Genomic DNA, 25,641 nt, shown 5'->3' on the forward strand with positions numbered 1-25,641 from the left:
CAGACAAAGACGCTTGAGGCAAAGGAAATGCGAGTTCTGGTTATTTACAAAATGTTCCAAACTATTGCATGTACGGGGCGGGCAGAGCTATAGCCGCAAATTGGGTTTTCTAAGAAAAATTCCAGAAGTAGGCTGGCGCAGTGGCTCACGCCTGTAATCCTAGCCCTTTGGGAGGCTGAGGCGAGCGGGTCAGTTGAAGTCAGGAGCTCGAGACCAGACTGGCCAACATGGTGAAACCCCGCCTCTACTAAAAGTATGAAAATTAGCTGGGCGTGGTGGTGCACACCTGTAATCCCAGCTACTTGGGAGGCTGAGGCAGGAGAATCTCTTGAACCCAGGAGGTGGAGGTTGCAGTGAGCCAAGATCGTGCCACTGCACTCCAGCCTGGGCAACAGAGAGAGACTCTGTCTCAAAAACAATAAAAAATAATAAACAAACAAATAGATTCCAGAATTATTTTTTAAGATTTGTCACAGGTTGGGTAAGAAAGGCCCGCCAGACTTCCCGTGAGAGCCTTGGGGCTGCAGGACCCCTCTGGGCGCTCTCAGTGGTTGGAGGGGGCAGTTTCAGGCTGATCCCACGTTGCACAGACAGCACCGCCAGCACGGCCTACCTTTTCCATGCCCGACTCCTTCACGGCCTTGTCCACGATGTTGCGGACCTCATCCTCGTAACTGTGGAGGTTCAGCTGCAGTAAATCTGCCAGGGTCGTCTCTTCTGACATTTTAAATTTCACCTAAGGGAAAAAAATCCAGGCAGGATTCATTTCAGGTCATGTGCACTCTGCAGTGGGCAGACGTCATGATCCTTCATGGAGAGCCATTGCCGGGGCACGATCCCGGGCTGCTGGAGGGAGGGAGGCGAGCTCTGCTCTGCCATTTTCAGCTCTGAGACTTGAGGAAGTGACTTCTCCAAGCCTCACCTTCCTTCCCTGTAAAACCGCATAAGAGCAGAACGCACCTGCACTGGGCGGAATTGCGGCCCCCCCGCAAAATTCACATCCGCCCAGAACCTTCACGTGTCACCTTATTTGGAAATAGGGTCTTTGCAGATACTAAGGATCTTGAGGTGAGTTCATCCTGGATTTTCCGGTGAGACATAAATCCAGGGCCAAGTGTCCTCGTGACAGGAAGGAGAGGGACATCTGAGGCACACAGGAAAGAGGGCCTTGTGGAGACCAAGGCAGAGACAGGCATGATGCGGCCACAGGCCAAGGAATGCCTGGAGCCCCCAGAAGCTGGAGGAGGCAGGAAGGACCCTCCCCCGGAGCCTCTAGAAGGAGTGCAGCCTGCTGACACCCTGATTTCAGAGTCCTGGCCTCCAGCACTGTGAGAAAACACAGGTCTGTTTTCTTTCTTTCTTTTGAGACAGAGTCTCGCTTTGTCACCTGGGCTGGAGTGCATCTTGGCTCACTGGAACCTCCACCTCCCGGGTTCAAGCGATTCTCCTGCCTCAGCCTCCCAAGTAGCTGGGACTACAGGCACGTACCACCACGTGCAGCTAATTTTTGTATTTTTAGTAGAGACGGGGTTTCACCAAGTCAGACAGGCTGGTCTCAAACTCCTGAACTCAGATGATCCGCCTGCCTCAGCCTCCCAAAGTGCTGGGATTACAGGCATGAGCCACCGCACCCCCGGCTAGATCTGCTGTTTTAAGCCTCCTGGTTTGTGGTCCTTTGTCATGGCAGCCCCAGGAAGTGAATCCACCACCTTTGGCAGCTGCCGCATTCACAATAGGCAAAGCGCTCTGTGGCAGTGGCCGAATCACAGGTACTGTTACTCTAGTACCAGATCACCGTTAGTCTAGTACGAACATACCAGGTACTTGCCTAGTGCCACCCACTTCCCAAATCGCTTCCACGTCCCTTGTCTAATATTCTTTTTGGTGTCACATAGTCAGATGTTTCTGAGCATTGATTCTGAGCCCACTGTGGAATTTTAACCAACAGATGGAACCTTGCATCTCTAATCACATTTGGGGACATATGTGCCCGAGGCTCACCAAGACCTCAGCTGTGCCCAGCTCCTTTCATGGAGATATTTAGCTGGTTGTTTATCACCGCCCAAGCGTCTCTCCCAGGGCACCCGGAAGGGGCACATGAACCTGTTACCAGGCATCCGGGAAATTTTTTGTCTCAACACTCGAAAGGCACCCCCAGGGGCTGGCTCCCAGACACCCAGATCCCTGGGGAGCAAGTGGGTGCCCCTGTGCCCTCAGGGTGGCCTGCATAGCTGGGTTTGCTTTTCCTTCCTTGGGCCTAGGGAGCAGAAGGGCCCTGGACAGTGTGGTGGGGGCGGAGCAGGAGCCTCTAACACTCCTCCTAGGTGGGCACCCTCCTGGGCTGGCTGGGACTTAATGAGAGATGGAGGGAACCATTTGTCCCCATTCTCCTACTTCCTGCATAGGTACGGATCTCTTGGGAAGCCGTGGGCTAAGCATTGCCGCTGTGCAGGCTTTGGGCCATGCTGCCCTTGGTCCTTGGGGTATGTTCTCACCGTTGTTCTTGCATTCTTTCATGCCAAGACCTGTCCCAGCCTTTCTGCTTGTCTTCACAGTTCTCACTCCCAAGGCCCAAGCCAAATTTCACACTCACTCAGAGCTTTTCCTTCCCTTCCCACCGCTTGAAGGTGGCACCCTCCTCTAGGTCTCAGGATCATCACTAAATATCTCCTGCACTTGGCATTCAAACCTGATTATGGAGGTTGGCAGAATTTGCCACCAAAATACGCCACTTTGGCTTAAGGTTTATTTTGAGCTGAAGGCACTTGAGAAGAAGCAGATACAAGAGAAGCTCTCTGTCCTCCCCCTATTTGCCTACAAGCAGGAAATAAATTTGCCAAGGAGTCCCACCGCCCCCTCTACCAAGAATGATAGAAGTTAATCAATGGAGGCCAGGTGCGGTGGCTCACACCTGTAATCCCAGCACTTTGGGAGGCCAAGGCTGGTGGATCACCTGAGGTCAGGAGTTTGAGACCAGCTTGGCCAAGGTGAAACCCTGTCTCTACTAAAAATACAAACAAATCAGCCAGGCGTGATGGCATGTGCCTATAATCCCAGCTACTCAGGAGGCTGAATCAGGAGAATCACTTGAACCTGGGAGGTGGAGGTTGCAGTGAGCTGAGATTGTGTCACTGAACTCCAGCCTGGGCAACAGAGAGAGACTCTAACTCAAAAAAAAAAAAAAAAAAAAAAAAGAATTAATGGAGACAGCTTCAGCCCCTTATCAGCCCAGAGGAAGGGGAGGAATCTACACAATGCACCTTACTGAAGCTCACCTCATCCTGCTGTAAAGCAAAAATAAAATCCTAAGCCCCCGAACAAATTGAATGAACCCCCCCTCTGCTAGGGGCATTCCAAAGTAAACCGGAAAAATGAGTTCAGGCCATGACGGGAAGGAGGCTGGGGGACAGGCCTCATTATACCCCCCTCCCTTTGGGATTCAGGCACAGCTGACCAGCATTAACATCAACACAGAGAACCTAAGACTGACCAAACAGAATGTTTGTAGCAACATGATACAACACATGACAGATAGCAGGCCCTGAAAGAAATCGCAGTATTTTACCCCAAAATATGTTTCTTTGACATAGTTTGAAATAGTCCTGCAAAGCTGTCTCTTGTAGGGGAAATCTGCATTCTGTAGAGAATCCCCTTCTCTTTCCTGGTCTTTTCCTATTTTGTTAGAGACACAGTTTCACTCTGTCACCCAGGCTAGAGTACAGTGGCATGATCTCGGCTCACTGCAACCTCCACCTCCCAGGTTCAAGCGATTCTCCTGCCTCAGCCACGCAAGTAGCTGGGACTACAGGTGTGCGCTACCACGCTCGGCTGATTTTTGTATTTTTAGCAGGGATGGGGTTTCACCATGTTGGCCAGGCTGGTCTCAAACTCCTGGCCTCAAGTGATCCACCCACCTCGGCCTCCCAAGGTGCTGGGATTACAGGCATGAGCCACCGCACCCGGCTTTCCTCTATTTAATCTGTCTCTCATCAGTCTAATTTACAGGAGCCCCAGCCAGGGAACCTAAGATGGATAGATGGAAAAATAATTTTTTTCCTCTGCTGTAATTGTCAGTACTATTATTTCTCTGCTTCCTTGAGAGCAGGGGCCATGTCTCCTGTCTCTCTGTATCCTTTGCAGCTAGGTGGGGCCTCTGCAGAGTAGCTGCTTAAAGTCATTTTGTTCAGTGTTGGCTGAGAGAGGGGAGCGTTCCTGTTAGCCTTCTGGAGGTGTCAAGGCCAGTGCCTGCCAGTACTGTGGGATATTCCTGGAAAGATTCAGGTGCTAAGACTCTGAGTTCCTGGGGTCATGAGGACCCTAGCGAAGCTGTTCATTTGCCCCAAACTTCCTGAGCCTTATGAACATGCAACCTACAACCAGAACGGCCTACCTAATTTGCAGAGCCCAGTGCAAAATGGAAATGCGGGAACTCCTGTTCAAAAATTACTAAGAATTGGCTGGCGCAGTGGCTCATGCCTGTAATGCCAGCACTTTGGGAGGCTGAGGCAGGCGGATCATGAGGTCAGGAGTTCGAGACCAGCCTGGCCAATATGGTGAAACCCCGTCTGTACTAAAAATACAAAAATTAGCTGGGTGTGGTGGTGGGTGCCTGTGGTCCCAGCTACTTGGGAGGCTAAGGCAGAAGAACTGCTTGAACCTGGGAGGCGGAGGTTGCAGTGAGCCAAGATCGCGCCACTGCACTCCAACCTGGTGACAGAACTAGACTCCGTCTCAAAAAAAAAAAAAAAAAAAGAAAAAGAAAATTACTAAGAATTTTGAGATGGTGAAGTTGAGATGGTAAACGGAGCCTGCCCCACCACCCCCAACCAGCGTGGAGCCCAGTGTGACTGCGCAGGTCACTTGTGCACGAAGCCAGCCCTGCCCACATTGGCTTTACCAGCATCGGGCCCTGAACACCTTGGCTAGGCAGCTCAGGCCAGCCCATCCTGCAGCAGAGCTGGCCGCCAGGGGCGGTCCCCTCCGCCCACCATGGTGCATGGTACCTGGGTGGCCTGCATGAGCTGCTGCCAGTGGCGTTCCCGAATGGCAGGGTTCTGCAGCTCGCTCACGGCACGCAGGGACGTGATCACGTTTTTCACGGTGTTGTCGAGCCCCACGAAGGCATCCCAGGTTTTCATCTCCTTGTCCAAAGACCTCATGTCCTTGGCAAACTTCTTACAATCTATGTCCATCTGCTCAACGTTGATATCTTTCCACTTGGTGGTCTTCCAGTCCTCGATGCTGGTATTTACCTGAAACGAAAACATCCCGTTTCTCCTTCCACTCTCATCAAGGAGAATTCAGGAAGAAAACCCTCTTACCTTTCTGCACTTACTCGCAGGGAGCAAAGCCCAGTGAGGAATATTTAGAACTAATACCCGAGATCAGTAAAGTGATTAGATACAAGAAAAAACAACCGTGGCGTCACAAAAGGTAAGATTTAAAAGTTAACAGTTGGCCGGGCACGGTGGCCCACGTCTATAACCCCACTACTTTGGGAGGCCGAGGTGAGCAGATTACCTGAGGTCAGGAGTTCGAGACCAGCCTGACCAACATGGTGAAACCCCGTCTGTACTAAAAATACAAAAATTAGCTGGGTGTGGTGGTGCACACCTGTAATCCCAGCTACTTGGGAGGCTGAGACAGGAGAATCACTTGATCCTGGGAGACAAGGGCTGCAGTGAGCCGAGATCATGCCACTGCACTTCGGCCTGGGTGACAGAGTGAGACTCCATCTCAAAAAAAATAAATAAAAATAAAAGTTAGCAGTTAAAAGGCATTTTAGCAAAAGGCTGTGTTAGGGCCCTGCTGTTGCTGGCCAGGACCCAGTTTTCTCTCACTTCTCAGTATGTCCATGTAGCTTGTCTTGGCCAAGGAAAGGTGAGTGATGCCTGACAATACCCAGCTTGGCATTCCCCTTGCCTGCCTTGGCAATCACAAAGGGGCATCGCCGAAATACAGCCTGCACTGTGGAACCAGTCCTTGGCAGGTAGCTTCCCAGGAAACAACTGCTTGGAACTACAGCATGCACTTTGCATGAATGAGAAATACACTTTTGTTCAGTACACAGAGATGTGTGGGGTTGTTACCGCACAGTAACGCAGCTTCCACTGACTGGTAAAAAGACAACAGAAGAAACTTCACTCACAACAATATGAAACAAAATATACAAACTACCCAGGAATAACCCCACCAACAGTATAAACATGAAAATGGCTGTGAAGCTGGAAACTGCTAGTCATTGAGGGAATGAGAGATTGTTGACATGGGCACTTACAGTGAGAAGATCTGGACTTGAGAAACATCTGAGCTTGAGAACGTAAAAACTGGGAGTGTTCACAAGATGTTTGCCTTGAAGATACGATGATTTGAAACCTTAATCTACACAGGAGTTGATGGCTTTTTCTGGCAGGTTCGAGATTACCCTGCATCCTATTATCATAAAATGTCTTGGCTAGTGTGTTTTGGAGAGTTTTTCTTGAATTATCCTGACTGCAAATGCTGTCATCTCCTGGGAAATGTGGACTTTATTCTCCTGTCTACACAAACAATTTTTTGTCATGGGAAAGCGTATATCCCATTCTCTCAGATGCCTGCTATGTTCTGTAATGCCACTCATGTAAAAGAAACTTGAGGCCGGGTGCGGCGGCTCACGCCTGCAATCCCAGCACTTTGGGAGGCCGAGGCGGGTGGATCACCTGAGGTCAGGAGTTCGATACCAGCCTGACCAACATGGTGAAACCCCATCTCTACTAAAAAAAATACAAAAATTAGCCGGGCGTGATGGCAGGTGCCTGTAATCCCAGCTACTGGGGAGGCTGAGGCAGGAGAATCGCTTGAACCTGGGAGGCAGAGGTTGCAGCGAGTGGACATCACATCACTGCACTCCAGCCTGGGCCACAGAGCAAGACTCCATCTCAGAAAAAAAAAAAAAAAAAAAAAGAGAGAGAGACAGACTCAAAATCAGTTAATTGTTGAAAAAGTATCAAGAGGCCTTCAATTTGTACCTTCTGTTAAGGCCTGGCTGTAATAAAGCCTGTGTCTCCAAACATGTTTCTCCCCCTGTGTAAGAAATATGTAGACTTGGTATGGTCAGCATGAAGACATTTACTATAATGTATTTTAAAAATTAAATAAAAGAAGAGACAGAGCACGCTCTTGTATGGGAACATGGAATACTGCCAAGAGATTAATTTTCCTCAAATGAGTTAATTCAATTCCATTTAAAGTCATAATAGCTTCCTTTTGGAGGGGAGGAAGATTTGACAAATGATTCTTTTGTTTTTGAGACAGAGTCTCACTCACTCTGTCGCCCAGGCTGGAGTACAGTGACGTGATCTCAGCTCACTGCAACCTCCACCTCCTGGGTTCAAGTGATCCTCCTGCCTCAGCCTCCCCAGTAGCTGGGACTACAGGCACATGTCAACCTCACCCAGCTAATTTTTATATTTTTAGTAGAGATGGGGTTTTGCCATGTTGGCCAGACCGGTCTCAAACTCCCGGCCTCAAGTGATCCGCCCACCTTGGCCTCCCAAAGTGCTGGGATTACAGGCGTGAGCCACCGCACCAGGCCGGATTTGAAAAAAGTTCATTCAAAAAAGTAAAAGAGGAAAGAGTTCAACTATTTTTGAAAACAGATGAGTGACGAGGAGACAGAAAGGCAGAAACCAACATATGCACACACACAGAAGAAGAAATACTTGGGAAAAAGAGGCCCTGTGCTTGGAGTCCAGCCTCCCTTCACACACTGAGACTTGGCCTGTCCTTATCTTTCTGCTGCCTAGGAGGCCACATGGCAGCCTACAGAGACATGATCCAGACTGCCCTCGTTTGGCAAATTCCCAGGCTCCCGAATTGCCTCCTCTTCTCCCTGAATATCACCCTCTCCACAACCTACCCAAATTCCCATTTCCTCAGGGCTGTCTTAGCATCTGACCCAAACAAAAAGCCTGCTGGCATTCTTTAAAAAGTTGTCAGTTCTTTCAGTTCTGCCAAGATGGAGCAGCCCTGTTACTTCCAGCTTCTCTCTCTTACAACTGAAAAACCTTGGACATATCACAACAAACAAGACCATGGAAGATTACTCATATATTGAGGAAATACATAAGACAGTTATGTTATAGTTAAGAGGGGCAGAGGTGAGGGCAAAGAGATCTAAATGGAAGTGAGGTTTCTACACACAAAAGTGACAAAATGTTGATATCAGTGACTGTCAAACAGCCACTAAGAAAACTATATAAAGCGCTATGTTCAGAATCACTCTAAATAAATCAGGATGGATCCTAAAAATGTTAAAATAAAAGAGAGTCAGAGGAATAAGAAACAAAGGGAACAAACAGAAAACAAAATGGCAGACATAGGCTGTAACATGACAATAATTACCTTAAATGCAAAATGGTCTAAACAGATCAATTAAAAGCCAGAGACTGGCAGAGTGGACGAAAAAACATGACCCAATCATATGCTGTATATAAGAAACTCAGTTCAAACACAAAAATATAGGTAGCTTGAAAATTTAAAAATGGAGAAAGATCAGGACGAACACTAGTCAAAAACAATAGAAAAAACAGAAGTAGCTATACTAGTATCAGATCAAGCCAACCTTAGAGCAAAGAAAATTCCTAGAGACAAAAGGAACATTACATAATGGGAAAAAGGGTCAACCTATAAGAAGACAATAATCCCAAATCTGTACACACCAAGCAACAGAGCCTCAAAATACACAAAGCAAAAACTGATGGAGCTGAAAGGAGAAATAAACACATCTATAATTATAGTTGGAGAGATTTCAGCACCCCACTCTCAGCAGTTTATGGAACTGCTAGACAGAAAATTAGCAAGACTATAAAAGGACAGAACAACACAACCAACTGACAGGATCTAATTGACACGTATAAAACACTCCGCCCAACAGAAGCAGAATACGCATTCTGTTCAAGTGCCCATGGGACATTCCCCCAGACAGACTATATCCTGATCCATAAAATAAAGCTTAATACATTTAAAATAATGAAAGTTATATACAGTGTGTTCTTTGACCATAATGGAATCAAACTAGAAATCAATAATAGAAAGGAAACAGGAAAATCTCTAAACGCTTAGAAATTTAAAATACAGGCCAGGCGTGGTGGCTCACGCCTGTAATCCCAGCACTTTGGGAAGCCGAAGTGGGCTGATCACAAGGTCAGGAGATCGAGACCATTCTGGCTAACATGGTGAAACCCCGTCTCTACTAAAAATACAAAAAATTAGCCGGGCGTGGTGGCGGGCACCTGTAGTCCCAGATACTCGGGAGGCTGAGGCAGGAGAATGGCGTGAACCCAGGAGGTGGAGCTTACAGTGAGCCAAGATAGCGCCACTGCAGTCTGGCCTGGGTGAAAGAGCGAGACTCCGTCTCAAAAAAAAAAAAAAAAAAAAAAAAAAGAAATGTAAAATATACTTCTAAATCATCCATGGGTCAAAGAGGAAGCCTCAAAAGAAATTAAAAAACACACAGAACTGAATGTAATATCAAAATACGTGGGACGCAGCTAATGTAGAGAGGGAAATTTTATAGCACGAAGTGTTTCCTTTAGAAAAGAGAAAAGGTCTCAAATCAATAATCCAAGTTTCTACCTCAATAAACTAGAAAATGAGCAAGATAAACCCAAAGCAAAGGAAGGAACAAAATAATAAAGACCAGAAACTGATGAAGTTTAAAATAAAACAGCACAAAAGTTAAACAAAAATCTTTTTCTTTGAAAAATCAATAAAGTTTATAAACCTCTATTATGACCGACAAAGATGAAGAGTGAAGACATAAGTCACCAACACTAGGAATGAAATAGAAGATACCACTGCTGAGCTTGCAGCCATCTAGAGGATAGTATGGAACTAGTATAAACAACTTTATGCTTGCTTGAATTAAACAATTTAGAAGAAATAAACCAATTCCTCAAAAACCACAAGCTACCAAAATTCACTACCAAGATTTTCACAAATTTGAAACAGACCAACGTGAACAAGCCTGTATGGCCATTAAAGAAATTGAATTTGTAACTAAAAATCTCATGGAAATGGCCGGGCATGGTGGCTCACGCCTGTAATCCCAGCACTTTGGGAGGCTGAGGTGGGTGGATCACCTGCGGTCAGGAGTTTGAGACCAGCCTGACCAACATAGTGAAACCCTGTCTCTATTAAAAATACAAAAAATTAGCTGGGTGTGGTGGTGGGCACCTGTAATCCCAGCTACTCAGGAGGCTGAGGTGGGAGAATCGCTTGAACCCAGGAGGCAGAGGTTGCAGTGAGCCAAAATCACACCACTGCACTCCAGGCCTGGGCGATAGAACGAAACTCTGTTTCAAGAAAAAAAAAGTCAGTGTAATCAATTATCTTAGCAGACTAAACAAAAATCAATCATATCAGTAAACACAAAAAAATTTGACAAGATCTAACACCTGTTCATGATGAATAAAAAGAAAAGGAATAGAATTTCCTCAATTTGAAAACTTACAGCTAATATACATAATGGCAAAGTGGTTTTCCTCTTAGATTGGGAACAATGCAAGGATGTGTGAACTCACCACTCTTATTCAACAGAGTACTGGAAGTTCAGGCCACTGCAATAAGGCAAGAAAGAGAAGTAAAAGACATACAGAATGGAAAGGAAAAATAAAACTGTTCCTATTTGCAGATGACATTATTGTCTATGTACAAAATCCCTAAGGAGTCTAAAAAAGCCATCCTAGAACTAGTAAGTGAGTTTAGCAAGGCCACAAGAGAAAAACAAACACATAAAAATTATTCACATTTGTATATACCCAAACAAACATGTGCAAACCAAAATTTAAGATGCAACGCCACTTATTAATACAATCACTTCTAAAAAGAAAAGGAAAGACACATGAGGTATAAATGTAACAAAACATGTATAGGATCTTAAATGCTATAACAAAATGAAATCACAAAAAAATCAAAGAAGAGCCAAATAAATGGAGAGATACATTATGTTATGGACTGGGAGACAGAGTCAACATGTCAGTTCTCTCCAAATTGATTAATAGTTTTAACGCAATTCCTATAAAAACCCCAATAAGGTTTTATTTTTTTATAAGCATAACAAGCTTATTCTAAAATTTATATGGAAAAGTACAAGTCCTAGAAGAGCAAACCAATCTTGACAAAAAAGGATAAAGTGGGAGGAATCGCTCTGATAACAAACCTTACTAGATTGCTCTAGGAATCAAGACTGTGCAGTATCATGGAGGGACAGACACGAAGACCAATGGAACAGAGCACAGAACCCATCAACAGCAGCAGTCTAAGGTGCCCAACTGACTTTTGATAAAGATGCAAAATAAATTAAATGGAGCGGGGCCAGGCGCTGTGGCTCACGCCTGTAATCCCAGTACTTTGGGAGGCTGAGGCAGGTGGATCGCTTGAGGTCATGAGTTCAAGACCAGCCTGGCCAACATGGCGAAACCCCATCTCTACTGAAAATACAAAAATTAGCTGGGTGGAGTGGTGTGTGTCTGTAATCCCAGCTACTCAGGAGGCTGAGGCAGGAGAATCGCTTGAACCGGGGAGGTGGAGGTTGCAGTGAGCCAAGATCGCACCACAGCACTCCAGCCTGGGTGACAAGAGCGACACTCCATCTCAAAGAAAAAAAGAATTTTTTTTAATGGAGGGACCGACTTGTCTACAAACATGCTGGAGCAATTAGACATCCATAAACAAACAAAAATAATAAATGAACCTTAACCCAATAAACCTCACTCCTTATACAAAAATTAACTCAAAATGGCTCATAGACAAACAGAAAGCAGAAAACTATAAAAGCATAGGAGAAAATCTTTAGGATCTAGGAAAAGAGTTCATAATCTATGAAAGGAAAAATTGATAAAATGGATTATACCCAAGTTTCATATTAAAAACTTTAAAGATTATACTAAAACTGGCCGGGCATGGTGGCTCACACCTGTAATCCTAGCACTTTGGGAGGCCAAGGCGGGCGCATTGCCTGAGCTTAGGAATTAGAGACCAGCCTGGTCAACATGATGAAACCCCATCTCTCCTAAAAATACAAAAATTAGCCAAGTGTGGTGGCGTGCGCCTGTAATCCCAGCTGCTCGGGAGGCTGAGGCGAGAGAATCCTTGAACCCAGGAGACAGAGGTTGCAGTGAGTTGAGATCGTGCCACTGTACTCCAGCCTGGGCGACAGAGTGAGACTCCGCCTCAAAACCAAAATTATACTAAAACTCTTGCTCAGCGAAATACCCTGTTAAGAGAATGAAAAGACAAGTTACAGACTAGGAGAAATTACTCGCAATCACAACCTGACAAATAGCTAGATTCTAGAACATATAAAGAACGCTCAAAATTTAACAGTAAAAAACTTAGTTTTGGTTGCCGGGCAGGAGGAAGGTGCTGGCTGCAGAGGGAAGGAGCTCCCAGTGGCTGTGGAGAACCCAGCCCAGCTGAGCCGAGCCACGGCCACCATGGCGGCTACCGAGGACGCTCACGAGAACCACAGTACCTCCACTGAGAATGCAGACAAGTCCAACCAGGACCCTCAGTATGAGCCAATAGTTTCTACTCCTGAGCAAGAAATTAAAATGCTAGAGGAAGAGGAAGAGGGACTTTTTAATATGTGAGTGCAACTATTCTGATTTGTTTCAGGGAACAATCTTCTGGAATGGAAGGGTGGAGGCACTGGCAACATCAAGCTCCTGAAGCACAAGGAGAAAGGGGCCTCACGAGGAGGGACAAGACCCTGAAGATCTGCCAGCCCCTAAGTCACACCCATGTTGGAGCTGAAGCCCAACGCAGGCAGCCACTGGGCCTGGGTCTGCAACACCCACGCCGACTTCACCCATGAGTGCCCAGGCCAGAGCTGCTGGCCGGCTGCTTCCTGAATGCTGAGCATGCACGGAAATTCCAAAGTTCAGAGAATGCAAAAAAGACATCAAAGAGAGACAAAAGAAAGGACCAGGCAAAAACAATAATGCCGAAAAAGTGGTGGAAAAGCTAGAAGCTCTTTTGGTAAAGAGGAGACCAAGGAAGACACTGAGGAAAAGCATTAAATTCTTCCTTTCTTTCCTTTTTCTTTCTTTTTTTTTTTTGAGATGTGGTTTCACTCTTATAGCCCAGGCTGGAGTGCAGTGGCTCCATCATAGCTCACTGTAGCCTCCACCTCCTGGGCTCAAGTGATCCTCTCACCTCAGCCTCCTGAGTAGCTGGGATCACAAGTGCACACCACCACGCCCAGCTAATTTTTTGTATTTTTAGTAGAAACAGGGGTCTTGCTATGTTGCCTAGTCTGGTCTTGAACTCCTGAACTCAAGTGATCCACCTGCCTCGGCCTCCCAAAGTGCTGGGATTATAGGCATGAGCCACTACACCTAGCCTCCTTTTTCTATTTATTTGAGATGGAGTCTCACTCTGTCCCCCAGGCTGGAGTGTGATGGCGAGATCTTGGCTCACTGCAACCTCCGCCTCCCGAGTAGCTGAGATTACAGGCACCTGCCACCATGCCCAACTAATTTTTGTATTTTTAGTAGAGACGGGGTTTCACCATGTTGGCCAGGCTGCTCTTGAACTCCTGGCTTCAGGTGATCCACCTGCCTTGGCCTCCCAAAGTGCTGGGATTACAGGCGTGAGCCACCCCGCCTGGCCTCCTTTTTCAATTTTACCCTGCCTCTCCTTTTCAGTTTGTTTTTATTGTATTTTATTTTTACAAGGGACTGTATATGAATAACTGGATTAAAAAAACTTAAAAAAAGTCAATTGGAAAAAAAAAGTCAACTAGAAAATGGATAAAAGACATGAATATGCAGTTCACCAAGGAGGATATATAGATGTCAAATAAGCCCATGAGAAGATACTGGAGGCTGATGCCTGTAATACCAGCACTTTAGAAGGCTGAGACGGATGGATCGCTTGAGCCCAGAAGTTCAAGACCAGCCTGGGCAACACAGCAAGATTCCATCTCTACATAGAAATGTAAAAATTAGCTAGACGTAGTGGCGCAAGCCTGTAGTCCCAGTTACTTGCGAGGCTGAGAGGCAGGAGGATTGCTCGAGCCCAGGAGGCAGAGGTTGCAGTCAGCTGAGATCGTGCCACTGCACCCCAGCCTGGGCAACAGAGCAGGACCTTGTCTCAAAAATAAATAAAAATACTTTTTAAAAAAGAAAATATGCTGGCATCGTTAGTCAGTAGGAAATACAAATGAAACCACAAAATCTTTCTCATAGATTGAGCCTCTGATGGTCTGAATATTCCCCCCAAAATTTCTCTGTTGAAATCCTTACCTCGTATTAGGAGGCAGGGCCTTTGGGAGGTGATGAGGTCATCGGGGCGTGGCCCTCAGGAATGTGATTTGTGCTCTTATTTATGTGTTTATTTTTTGAGATGGAGTCTCACTCTATCGCCCAGGCTGGAGTACAGTGGCACGATCTTGGCTCACTGCAACCTCTGCCTCCCAGGTTCAAGCAATTCTTCTACCTCAGCTTCCCGAGTAGCTGGGATTACAGGTGCACACCACCACGCCCAGTTAATTTTCGTATTTTTCGTAGAGACGGGGTTTCATCATGTTGGCTAGGCTGTTCTCAAACTTCTGACCTCAGGTGATCCACCTGCCTCGGCCTCCCAAAGTGCTGAGATTACAGGCATGAGCCACCACACCGGGCCTGATTCATGCTCTTATAAAAGGGACCCTGGAGCGATTTCTCAGCCCCGGCCTGCTCCACTTCCACCACATGAGGATGCAGTGAGAGGGGACTGTCTATGAGCCACAAAGTGCGTCCTCACCAGACATTACATCTGCCTTGACTGTGGACTTCCCAGCCTCCAGAACGGTGAGGAATAAAATGTTGTTTATGAGCCACTGAGTTTATGGGATTTTGTTAGAGCACCTTGAACAGACTAAGTGGTATTCCTTACTTAAAAAAATTTCTTTAAAAAAGGTGAGATGTGAGAGAGAATGAGAGGAGGAGGAAAAAGACGAAGGGAGGGGAAAAAAGAAAGGGGGGCAGTCAAAGGCGAGCCCCCACCCACATACAGAGAGAGGTGAACATATCCTGCTTTAGCGGAGGGACCCCACCTCGCGATCTCAGGGCCCTTCGGATGCCTCCACCCAACACCAGAAACCTTCTTGTCACATTCTTACAACCAAAGGGTGCCCAGAGCCTGCCCTCTTGTTGCCGGGGGCAGCTCCCTGCAGAATCCCGGGCCCCACCCACGCGGCGTGCCCTGCACTCACCACAACAACCATGTCCCAGAGCTCCTTCAGTAGGCGGACCTCCCGGTGGCAGGCCTTGAGCTGCTTGTAGTCTGGGACGGGGACCTCGAACAGGCCCCCGGACTTGGACAGCGCCTCCATGATGCCTTCCATGGCGGAGATGCTCTTTTGTTGCTAGGGGCGGCGAGGGGGCCGTCAGTAGGGCTACCTACCCTCAGCGGTGCCCCACCCCACTCCCCGACGTTCTGCCCGTCTCTCCAGTGTGCCCTCCCTGATAAACCTTCTGGGAGGAGGTGTCCATACAACGGTGTCCCACCTGGAGGGAGGACAGAGCCCTCCATCCCCCAAGGCCTCCTGGGTCCTGCCTGCAGGGGAGGGCGGGTGACCTCTACCCACACCAGCGTGGGGACTGACTCCCAATGGGCATGGTAAATGCCTCATTTCCTCCTGAGAGTTTCTGATTTCCCAGCATTTCTTCAACTTTCATATTATATTTTTATCTTATTAAAAATGACTTAAGTAATGCTTTGAAAATGAGATAATTCAGATAAGCAAAGAGGAAAAATCCGTAGTGTCCTCTCAAATCCCATGACTAAGAGTTGGCCGTCGTAGCACCTGGTGATAGTGGGTGTGTTTGCGTGGACACGTAACAGGCAGGCTGTGGCAAAGGTGGGCTCGGAGCGTGTGCACACACATGGACACGCAGGGACTGCCTGCTCTGGTCACCAGCTGGAGCTCCACAGCTCCCCTTGGATGGGCATGGGGCACCCCTCACCCCAAATCTTTCCAGAAAATCCAGCCCGGGGCCCTAGGGAGAGAATGGCTGCATCTCCATCGTGGCTTGAGGAATGCGACATGAGGAAACGGCCATGAGGAAAGGTCGGATTGGAGCTGGAGGCCAAAGAGCCGAAGCTCAGGGAGGGGAAGAGTGAGGCAACCCTGAGGACCCTGGGGTTCACATTTGCTAGAGCCTGTGAGGCGGAGGTGCAGGTGGGGCCGACCCAGCAGTACCTGGGCACCGTACTGGGAGCAAAGAGGAACTGACAAGGGCCCCACTGGGCCCCAAGAGGCCCCCCTGGGCCCTGAGCACCCCACATGCTCCTGCCCACAAGGGCCTTTTGGGCCTGAGCTTGAGTGGGCTGCCAGGTCCAGGGCTGTGTGAATTTGTGCACTGGACGTGACCATGAACTTGGACAGTGGGAACAGAGTGGGAACACGAGTGAAGCCTGGCTGCTGCCCGATGTGGTGGGTCAGGAGAGGCAGGAGGCAGGGAGAGATGGCAGGTGAGTATTAAGCCCAGGGGACAGGAAGCTGCTGAATGTGAACAGAGTGGAGATTAGGGGGCGGAGTCAGGCTAAGGGACTATGGGTCACACAGGGTGTTAAGGGGCCTGAGCCGTGGGCCTGGAGCCATGCTCTGAGCTGCGAGACACAGAGGGGACACCATGTGGTCTGGGGGGCTGCTCGGTTTGCATGTTCACGTACACACCCATGCATGTGCTCGCACACGTATGTGCATGCATACACATAAGAGCACTCGTGCACGGCCCCAAGGTCAGTCCGGCGGAGACCACGTTTCTGGACTTGAAAGGATAACTACTTGAGAAAAGAAAGCAGTGGGGTTCCCAGACTTACCCCCTGATCTCACCCTTGAGCAAAAATACCTTATTCAGGGACTTGTAGGGGTTGGGGTCGCTGAAGGAGAACGGGGCCTCGCGCCTGAACCTCTCCCTGAACTCATGTTGCTTGAGCTGCGAGAGAAGAGTGCAAAGTACAGAGAGTCACGGGGCGGCCACCTGCCCCAAGGGTGGCCCCACCCTGTATGCCGCAGGGCCCTGGGTGAGCCCCACGCTGCTCCCCGGAAATCCCGCCACCCTGCCCCAGGTATAATACCTCGAATTGCTGGCATTTCCGCCGCAGGATGCTGACCTCGTTGGCCTGGAGTGGTGCCACGGTCAGCTTCACCTGAATGGCCAGTTTCTTGGTATTTGCCCAGTGCTCCGGCAGCTCCTGCGGGAAGCAAAGGCAGAGGAGGGCTCCTTTCTCATTTCTTTTCTTAAACCTTCTATTGTGAAATAATTAGAGACTGGTAAGAAGCTGCAAAAACAGTGCAGGGGCCGGCGCGGTGGCTCACACCTGTAATCTCAGCACTTTGGGAGGCTGAGATGGAAGGATCACTTGAGCCCAGGAGTTCGAGACCAGCCTGGGCAACAAAGTGAGACCCCATCTCTACAAAAAATACAAATTCTTTTTAGCTGGGCGTGATGATATGGGCCTGTAGTCCCAGCTACTCAGGAGGCTGAGCTGGGATGATCACTTGGACTAGGAAGGCAGAGGCTACTGTGAGCAAGATTGTACCACTGCACTCCAGCCTGGGTGACAGAGTGGGACCCTGTCTCAAAAAAACAAAAACAAAAACCAGCCTCCTTAATGGCGAACTAGGACATTGACATTGGTGTCTCTGTTAACTAGACCAGAGAATGTACTCACCTTTCATCATGTTTTTAAACCTGAATCCATTTGTGGGTGTGGGTGTGGGTGTGGTCTCCCATGCAATTTTATCCCACGTATGGATTTGTGCAAACACCGCCACAATCAAGATATGGATTGTCCATTACAACAGAGGAATTCCCTTTCTATCCCTCCACCACAATCCTGCCCCTGGGGACCGCTAAGCTCTTCTCCAGCTCTATAATGTTGTCATTTCCAGAATGGCTGCAACAATCAGATGAATTTTGGTATTTCCCAAGTTCCCCACACTTGGGTAAATACTATAGTTGTAAATATTTAATTATTATTTATTCATTTTTGAGACAGAGTCTCACTCTACTGCTGAGGCTGGAGTGCAGTGGTGCGATCTTGGCTCACCACAACCGCTGCCTTCTGGGTTCAAGTGATTCTCATGCCTCAACCTCCCGAGCAGCTAGGATTACAGGCGCCTGCCACCACGCCTGGCTAATTTTTAAATTTTTAGTAGAGATGGGATTTTGCCATGTTGCCCAGACTGGTCTTGAACTCCTTGGCTCAAGTAATCTGCCCGCCTCGGCCTCCCAAAGTGCTGAAATTACAGGCATGAGCCACCACACCGGGCCATAAAATATTTTAAAGAAAAAAAAAATCCCAGCCCATGAACTTTTTGCCTGCAGTGGAGACTTCTCTAGTTCTTCTATGGTTGCTGGCTGTATGGTTTCTGTCTGCATTTTTACTACCCCAGTTGCCTCGTGTGTGGCTTGGAGCACCTCAGGGTGGGACGGCTGAGAACCTGCTCAGTCCTTTTATTTTCTTTCTTTTGACACAGGGTCTTGGCTCTGTCACCCAGGCTAGAGTCCAGTGGTACAATCATACATCACTGCAGCCTTGACTTCCTGGGCTCAACTGATCCTCCCACCTCCTGAGCAGCTGGGACTACAGGTGTGCGCCACCATGCCTGGCTAATTTTTTAAATTTTTTGTAGAGACAGGGTTTTCCTGTGCTGCCCAGGCCGGGGCCCCTCCCTCTTGTCACCCCCAGGGCTGTGGGGTCTTGGGCACTGTCTGGAGTCGGTGCATAAGACAGGAGGGTGGGCCCTGTCTGTGGCTGGACACAGAGAAGGGGAGAGGGCGGGAGGAGGGGTGGACGGGCTGGGAGGAGTTGGAAACTCCAGGCCAGACTCAAGAGATGAGGGAGCGGGGTCTCCTCGGTGGCCACACCTAGACGTGGCTGGGAGGCAGCTCTAGGACACACCCTCTCCATCCTCCCACCCTCGCCCAGCCTGCACACACCCCTCCACGCTGACAGCTGAGGTTCTTTGAATTCGCTATCAAGTGCTGTGCAAACGCAGCTGCCAGCCCCGCCCCCTTCAGCTGCCTAATCCCTCCCCAGGGTCCCCCTGACCTTGTTCTCTCTCCACCATCCTGGCACCCACCTCCACCAGCACTCCCACCAGACACTCAGGAGGAGACATGGGACATAAAGGCATTTTGTATTTTTTTTTTTTTTTAAGACAGAATCTCTGTCGCCCAGGCTGGAGTGCAGTGGTGCGATCTCAGCTCACTGCAACATCTGCCTCCCTGGTTCAAGCAATTCTCCTGCCTCAGCCTCCTGAGTAGCTGAGACTACACTAGCCAGCCACAGCTGGCTAATTTTCTATATTTTTGTAGAGATGGGCTTTCTCCCACGTTGCTCAGGCTGGTCTCAAACTCGAGCTCAGGCAATCTGCCCACCTTGGCCTCCCAAAGTGCTGGGATTACAATGAAGACATTTTTAATCCAACAAAACACCAATGGAACGGAGGGAGCACTGGCCTCACCGTGGAGGCAGTCCCCAGGGTCTCCTGTCCCCCAGAAACCTCCTCCCTGCACCTCCCTGTTCCATGGGGATCTGATGTCCAGAGAGGATCTAGCCCACAGCATCCCCCATGGTTGCGTTTGATGGGCTGGTCCATGGTCGCGGCCGGGATGGCTCTCCCTGCTCACCTGGACGCAGCCACACCCACCCACCACGTACCTGCAGCTTCAAGTGGATCTCCTCTGGCATCTCCTCCCCGTAGGTCTTGAGCAGCTCGATGGTTTGCTTCAGGGGCTCAAACATGTTGTCGGTGGCTGCTTGCCTCTCCTTGACTTTCATCAGGTGCCCCATCACCTCCACAAGCCCATCATAGTCCCCCTCCTTGAGGGGCTTGGTCAAGCCCATTCTGGCGACTTTCATGAAGGCTTCCAGGTCAGCCAGGCTAAGGGACAAGGGGACCATTTGTGTGGCCCCAGCCCCCCTTAGGCCCACCCTTGATGGTACGGAGCCCCATGAGAGGGGGACGACCGCGGTGAGGTCAACTGGCCATCACTGAAGGCCCCAGGTGGGGAGGGAGCGCCCCTGCCCACCTTGGATCCCTCCAGCTCACTCAGCCCCTGCCCAGACATCACCCCAAGCCTCAGCAACTTAGCTCAAGCCCATCCTCAAGTCCCAAGCTACGGCCACATCCCAGAGGCCTTCACTAGCCTCCCGGATGGAATTCAGCCAGGCAATGCTCTCTCCTGGCACTGTGCCCATCATGGCCCTGATGGCCGCCTATAATCCCACAGCTGCCAGTCTGTTTGTTCAGCGCCAGCCTTCCCTGACAGACTTCTGGTTTCCTCCGCATCTGGCACCCGGACAGAGCAGGTGCTCGGTACACCGGGTTTGGAGAAGGGATAATGTTTGCTCGCAGCCCGGTGACACCTTTCTGCTCACGCTTGGTGGGGTAGTTGGCCTTGAAGCCCAGCCTCCACCCCCTGCTACCCCAGAGGAGGCACCTGACAAATGCCACCCACTCAAGTGGAAGGCCACTCCCTGGTGCTCTGCACATTCCTTGGGCTCCCCGAGTACATGGCTGGGGACCCACCTGTTGGTGACGTGGTTGCTCAGGTGCCGCTTGAACATGAAGCCCCAGCGCCGGATTGTGCTGAGCAGGGCCTGCTTGAAGGGGCGGCAGTCGCACTGCAGCCAGCCGTGGAACACCTTGGTGTTCTCGCACTTGGACACCTCCTCATACAGCTTCTCGTAGGAGTCGATCTGGAAAACACGGCCACCGGCGGCCTGTCATAGCCTGCAAGCCTAGGGGGGGCGTCAGCACAGGGCCTCAGTCCAGGGCCTTCCTGCACTGCACCTGCGCTGCTCACCTGCCGGCCACTCTGGGGCCAGGGTCAGCAAAGGGCAGTACGGGACACATGGGGGCCCTCATTCCAAGTTATTGTTCCTTCCAGCCCCAGAGTCTAGCCCCAGAAGGTGCCAGTCCATCAGAAAGGGGCAGAAGGGGTCATGGCAGCAGGACTTCTGAAGCTGGGTAGGACAGAAGCTTCAAGAGGTGAACCAGGTCACAGGCTCCTAAAGGGCATCCCTAGCTCATCCTTCTACCTGAGGCCTCTGTCACTCCTCCTGCTGCCCCAACCCTGTGCTACAGAATGTACCCCTGGGCATGGGTCACCCTTGCCCACGGGGCCCTCTTTCTCACTGTGCATTGGGAACAGAGCTAGAGGTTTGTGCGTTAACTATGTTTTCTTATTTTATGCATTCTTTCTGCAGCTGTTGGGTAAAGTGTTCTGTAGCTGTCTGTTGGTCCCTGTGATCTAAAGTGCAGTTTAACTCCAATGTTTCTTTGCTGATTTTCTGTCTAGATGATCTGTCTGACGCTGAGAGCAGGGTGTTGAAAACCCTAACTGTTACTGTACTGGGGTCTCTCCCTTTAGATCTACCACTGTTTGCTTTATATATCTGGGTGCTCTGGTGCTGGGCGCATAGATATGTAGAATTGTTAAATCCTCTCGCTGAGTTGATCCTTTTGTCATTACATAGTGACCTTCTTGGTCTCGTTTTACTGTTTGTGACATAAAGTCTGTCTTTTTTTTTTTTTTTTTTTTGAGATGGAGTCTTGCTCTGTCACCAGGCTGGAGTGCAGTGGCGTGATCTTGACTCACTGCAAGCTCCGCCTCCTGGGTTCACACCATTCTCTTGCCTCAGCCTCCCGAGTAGCTGGAACTACAGGCGCCTGCCACCACGCCCAGCTAATTTTTTGTATTTTCAGTACAGATGGGGTTTCACCGTGTTAGCCAGGATGGTCTCGATCTCCTGACCTCACGATCCAACCGCCTCGGCCTCCCAAAGTGCTGGTATCACAGGCGTGAGCCACCACGCCCGGCCGACATAAAGTCTGTCTTATCTGATGTAACTATAGTTATTCCTACTTGTTCTTGGTTTCTGTTTGTGTGGAATCTCTTTTTCTATTCTTTTGCATTCAATCTGTCTTTACAGGTGAAGTGAGTTTCTTCTAAGCAGCATATATTGGGGTTACCTTCATCCATTCAGACAATCTATATCTTTTAAGTGGGGAATTGAATCCATTTACATTTGAGGTTATTACACTGACAGGTGTGATTTTCTGTGTTCTTCATGCTCTGACATCTGGGGCCTTGCCCATGGACGACCCCTCCCAGGCCTAGTCAATTTTGAGAGACAACAAACAATTCACCTGGGGGTGTGGTTTCATATGCAAATGAGCCAACCCGGAGCCCACACCTCCGACCATCCCCTTGATGGGGCTCTCACAGGGTTTTACCTTCTGGGCTGCTACCCACTAGCCCTCAGCCCTCATCTCCCTGAGGTCAGGTACCAGACAGCCCCTATAGCCTAGAGCCTGCTGAAATTATTCAAACTTGCCAACCCTAAGCCTGTGACCTCTGCCCATTCCTTCCCTGGAAGCCACAATAAAGGCTCTTTATTTTCCCCACATTTTCCCCAGCTCCCTCTGCCTCCTGACTGACCCTGATGCTACCCCGTGCAGGCCTGTGTGGTGTGCTATGCCCCCTTCTTGGGAACTGTAAGTAACAAACTGCCTTTCTAATGGTGGTCACCTCCTGATGTTTGCCTTGCCCTACCTGGAAACCTGCATCTTAAAACAATTCACCCAAGTTTTAAAGCAAGCCTGGTGATCCTCTCCTGGAAGACTCTGGAGACAAGGAGGCTGGTGGGTGAGGTCTGCACGCACCTGCTCCTGGAACTGAGCCAGGGTGGGCGGTGTCTTGGGGATGGTGTCATCTGTCCAGGTGTCCAAGTCCTCCGCAGTGACTGCACACCCATATATCAGGAAATTCTTCATAAACTCCTGCAGGTTGTCCGTCCAGAGGTAGGAGTACCTCTCAAAGGAATCCTGGTACTCCTCGGCCTCCTTCATGGCATTGATGACCAGGCTGGACACCTCCTCCCTCATCTCTATGAGGTCTGTGTTATCTTCCAGGTCCATCTGAAAGGGGCAGGGGAGAAGCAAAAAGGGGAGGTATGTTGCCTGGTTCATAATTTAGGTGTTGTCCTCTCGGCCTTGAGAAGTGGTTCTCTGTTGGCGAAAGGGCTTCCAATCTCTCATGATGACCTGCTCTTTTTCCAGCCTGGGCCGATCACCCCTCTTTAGGCAACCTGGTGGTCCCCCACTCCTGGGAGGTCACCATACTGATGCCAAACTTAGTGGATAGCACACTACAGCCCAGAACTCCTGGGCTCAAGCGATCCTCCTGCCTCAGCCTCCCAAGTAGCTGGGACCACAGGCACGTGCCACTGTGCCTGGCCCAAGCTCTCACCACGGGAAATAGGAACCTTTGCCGATTTGCAATATTCTGCCATGGGAAGGTATGCCAAGTGTGACGTTTGTCTGGGGAACCCCGAGATGACTCACACATTGATTCATTCATTCGATAGCTCGCTCTCACTGCGTACCACATGCTGGGATAGATACTGGGGCACAGGCAGGGAGTGTACAGCCCAGGAATGGGGTCTGACATTCATCAAAGAATCACAGAAAAAAGCATCTCCACCCTCCCCCTTGCTTCAGGTGAAATGGGGAGCAGGTCAGGGAATGGCCCCGAGGAAATGGCCATTGGTCTGAGAGCTGATGGATGGGTAGACAAGGAGCAAGAGAAGCGGCTTTCCTGGCAACAGCAAAGCACGTGCAAAGGCCCCGTGGTGGGAGGAGGCAGCGTGTTAGGGGAACTAAAGGAAGTCTACTGTCGGTGGCTAGAGCAGAGAGCACGAGAGGCCAGTGCTATACGGATCTTTTTAGTTGCCAGTGACAGAAAACCCAACCCAAACTGGTTAAGCAAAGAGAGAACTCGTTGGCTTATATACAGGACTGGAGAATCCCAAGGTGGTCGGTGTGTGTATTAATCACATTTTTATTGTCTGCATCTTATGAAATTTTGACATCTTATTTCTTTTTGAGACAGAGTTTCGGTCTGTCACCCAGGCCGGAGTGCAGTGGCCCGATCTCAGCTCACTACACCCTCTGCCTCCCAGGTTCAAGTGATTCTCCTGCCTCAGCCTCCCAAATAGCTGGGATTACAGGCTCCCACCACCATGCCTGGCTAATTTTTTGCATTTTTATTAGAGGCGGGGTTTCACCGTGTTGGTCAGGCTGGTCTCAAACTCCTGACCTCAGGTGATCCACCTGCCTCAGCCTCCCAAAGTGTTGGGATTACAGGCGTGAGCCAATGCGCCCAGCCCAATTTTGACATCTTAAAAAAATAAAATAAAAAAACCTTATGGGCCAGGAAGAGCCGGCCTTTCCCAGGGCTAGGCAATTCTTTGAGATAGCAAAAGGCTCATCTGGGGGCATGCATATGCAAACCAGCCGACCCTCAACCACTCCCCTTTACCCAACTCTCACACCAAGCCAGTATTTCCCCTGCCCTAAATCACCCAGGGTCAGGTACCAGACAACTGAAGACAGCCTATAGCCCAGAGCCCACATGACAGCTGCAGAGAGGCCCCATCGGGACCCAGATGTGCATGGAGATCTTGTCTGTGCAGGGGACCTCGTTGGTAAGGGGTGGCACGAGGAAACGGTGTAATTGAGGAGGTGAAGTCAGTGGGGCTGGGATGGAAGGGGAAGGTTGGCCCTAGGGCTGGGCCGGGCCACCCTGCATGTAAGTTGTGGATGGAAAGAAGCCACAGGGGAGAGAAACCTGAAGCTCCTCGTGGCTGCAGGAAAGCATTTGGTGTGTGCTTCAGAATTCAGCCATGGGCTCGCCTGTGCCTGACATTTGGCTCCCACCCCTCCTCATGGCCCCTCTTTCTGCTCAGGGTTGGGAGTGCAGTGTTCAGAGCACAGGCAGGTGCTTCTGGATTTCAGTGTTGTAACTTCCAGGCATCTACCTGCTCCAGCTGAGATTGTCCCCTGCAGTCCTTTGGATCTCCCCAGGTGGGATCCAAGTTCCAGTTGGGCTGGGCTGGTGGCAGCCTGGCATACCAGAGGCAGGTGAGACCTGCTGCCTGGGGTCTCTGCCCCTTGCTGGTGTCCCCTGTGGGCAGCTCAGCTCTCTAAATCCCTGTGGCAGCCTGGGGCCCACATTCTATCTCCTCCTTGTCCTGACCCAACTCCTCTGGGTTGGCCACCCTGGTACCCATGGGAAGCATCCCTTGGGTACTCTCTGCCACCAAGCTAGGGTACTTGGGTCTCTGGGAAGTGGCCCTGGGACCCAGCAGTCTAGATGCCTGACTCTCTCATTGTCTTCCACAGCTTGGCACCAGGTAAGACTCTGCTAGACCAGCAGGCTTTCGAGGGACCCTTCTCCTGGGCAACAGGCCCTTCAGCTCTGGAATGTTCTGCCTGAGCGTCCCAGGGTGTCTGCAAGGCAGCCTGAGTGTTTGTGCTGGCAGAGCCCAGGGGTGGAGCAGCTCTGTCTGCAGCAACCGTGGGTGCCCAAGAGCAGCCTGCTTTGGGGACAGTGGGAGGGGCACACCCGGGACACACTGATTCTGAGGACATGTGCTAACCTAGCGTCTGCATAACTGGGGCAAATTCTATTCTCAACTCTGGAACAGCTTGCTGCTTGCACTTGGGCCTAAAATCACAGCCATCTTCTCAGCATGGAAACCTCCTCCCACCCTTCCAGAATCCGCTCACACGCCCACTCCTCTCAGGAGCTG

General features: G+C 49.8%; 1 protein-coding gene and 2 pseudogenes across 5 annotated transcripts in view, besides 3 other annotated features; 1 reads left to right on the forward strand and 2 right to left on the reverse strand.

Moving 5' to 3' along the window:
• DNAH17 (dynein axonemal heavy chain 17) overlaps positions 1-25,641 on the reverse strand; it is a 153,700-nt gene that overhangs the window by 86,074 nt on the left and 41,985 nt on the right. For all 5 annotated transcript variants that reach the window (XM_024451013.2, NM_173628.4, XM_011525416.3 and 2 more), the window contains 8 exons: positions 22,712-22,966; positions 20,573-20,742; positions 19,702-19,924; positions 17,110-17,226; positions 16,881-16,967; positions 15,239-15,391; positions 5,004-5,252; positions 614-736 (listed from right to left, as the gene is read on the reverse strand). In XM_024451013.2, coding sequence (XP_024306781.1) covers positions 614-736; positions 5,004-5,252; positions 15,239-15,391; positions 16,881-16,967; positions 17,110-17,226; positions 19,702-19,924; positions 20,573-20,742; positions 22,712-22,966 — 1,377 coding nt within the window. The remainder of the gene's footprint in view (positions 1-613; positions 737-5,003; positions 5,253-15,238; positions 15,392-16,880; positions 16,968-17,109; positions 17,227-19,701; positions 19,925-20,572; positions 20,743-22,711; positions 22,967-25,641) is intronic.
• Positions 357-1,556: an enhancer, noted in NCBI's record as "P300/CBP strongly-dependent group 1 enhancer chr17:76506209-76507408 (GRCh37/hg19 assembly coordinates)". NCBI's record gives its function as "activates an origin of replication core promoter dependent on BRD2, BRD4, P300/CBP, MED14 and CDK7 cofactors, with strong dependence on P300/CBP, by STARR-seq in HCT116 cells {active_cell/tissue: HCT116}" and the evidence as "EXISTENCE:reporter gene assay evidence [ECO:0000049][PMID:35650434]".
• Positions 12,389-13,100, forward strand: LOC100419624 (RAN binding protein 1 pseudogene; annotated as a pseudogene).
• Positions 15,987-16,602: an enhancer, noted in NCBI's record as "H3K27ac-H3K4me1 hESC enhancer chr17:76521839-76522454 (GRCh37/hg19 assembly coordinates)". NCBI's record gives its function as "activates a minimal SCP1, AML or CMV promoter by ChIP-STARR-seq in naive H9 embryonic stem cells {active_cell/tissue: H9 hESC(naive)}" and the evidence as "EXISTENCE:reporter gene assay evidence [ECO:0000049][PMID:30033119]".
• Positions 22,598-23,797: an enhancer, noted in NCBI's record as "MED14-independent group 3 enhancer chr17:76528450-76529649 (GRCh37/hg19 assembly coordinates)". NCBI's record gives its function as "activates an origin of replication core promoter dependent on BRD2, BRD4, P300/CBP and CDK7 cofactors, and independent of MED14, by STARR-seq in HCT116 cells {active_cell/tissue: HCT116}" and the evidence as "EXISTENCE:reporter gene assay evidence [ECO:0000049][PMID:35650434]".
• Positions 23,043-23,285, reverse strand: RN7SL454P (RNA, 7SL, cytoplasmic 454, pseudogene; annotated as a pseudogene).

Source organism: Homo sapiens, chromosome 17, assembly GCF_000001405.40.
Source record: "Homo sapiens chromosome 17, GRCh38.p14 Primary Assembly".
In the NCBI taxonomy this organism is placed as follows: Eukaryota; Metazoa; Chordata; class Mammalia; order Primates; family Hominidae; genus Homo; species Homo sapiens.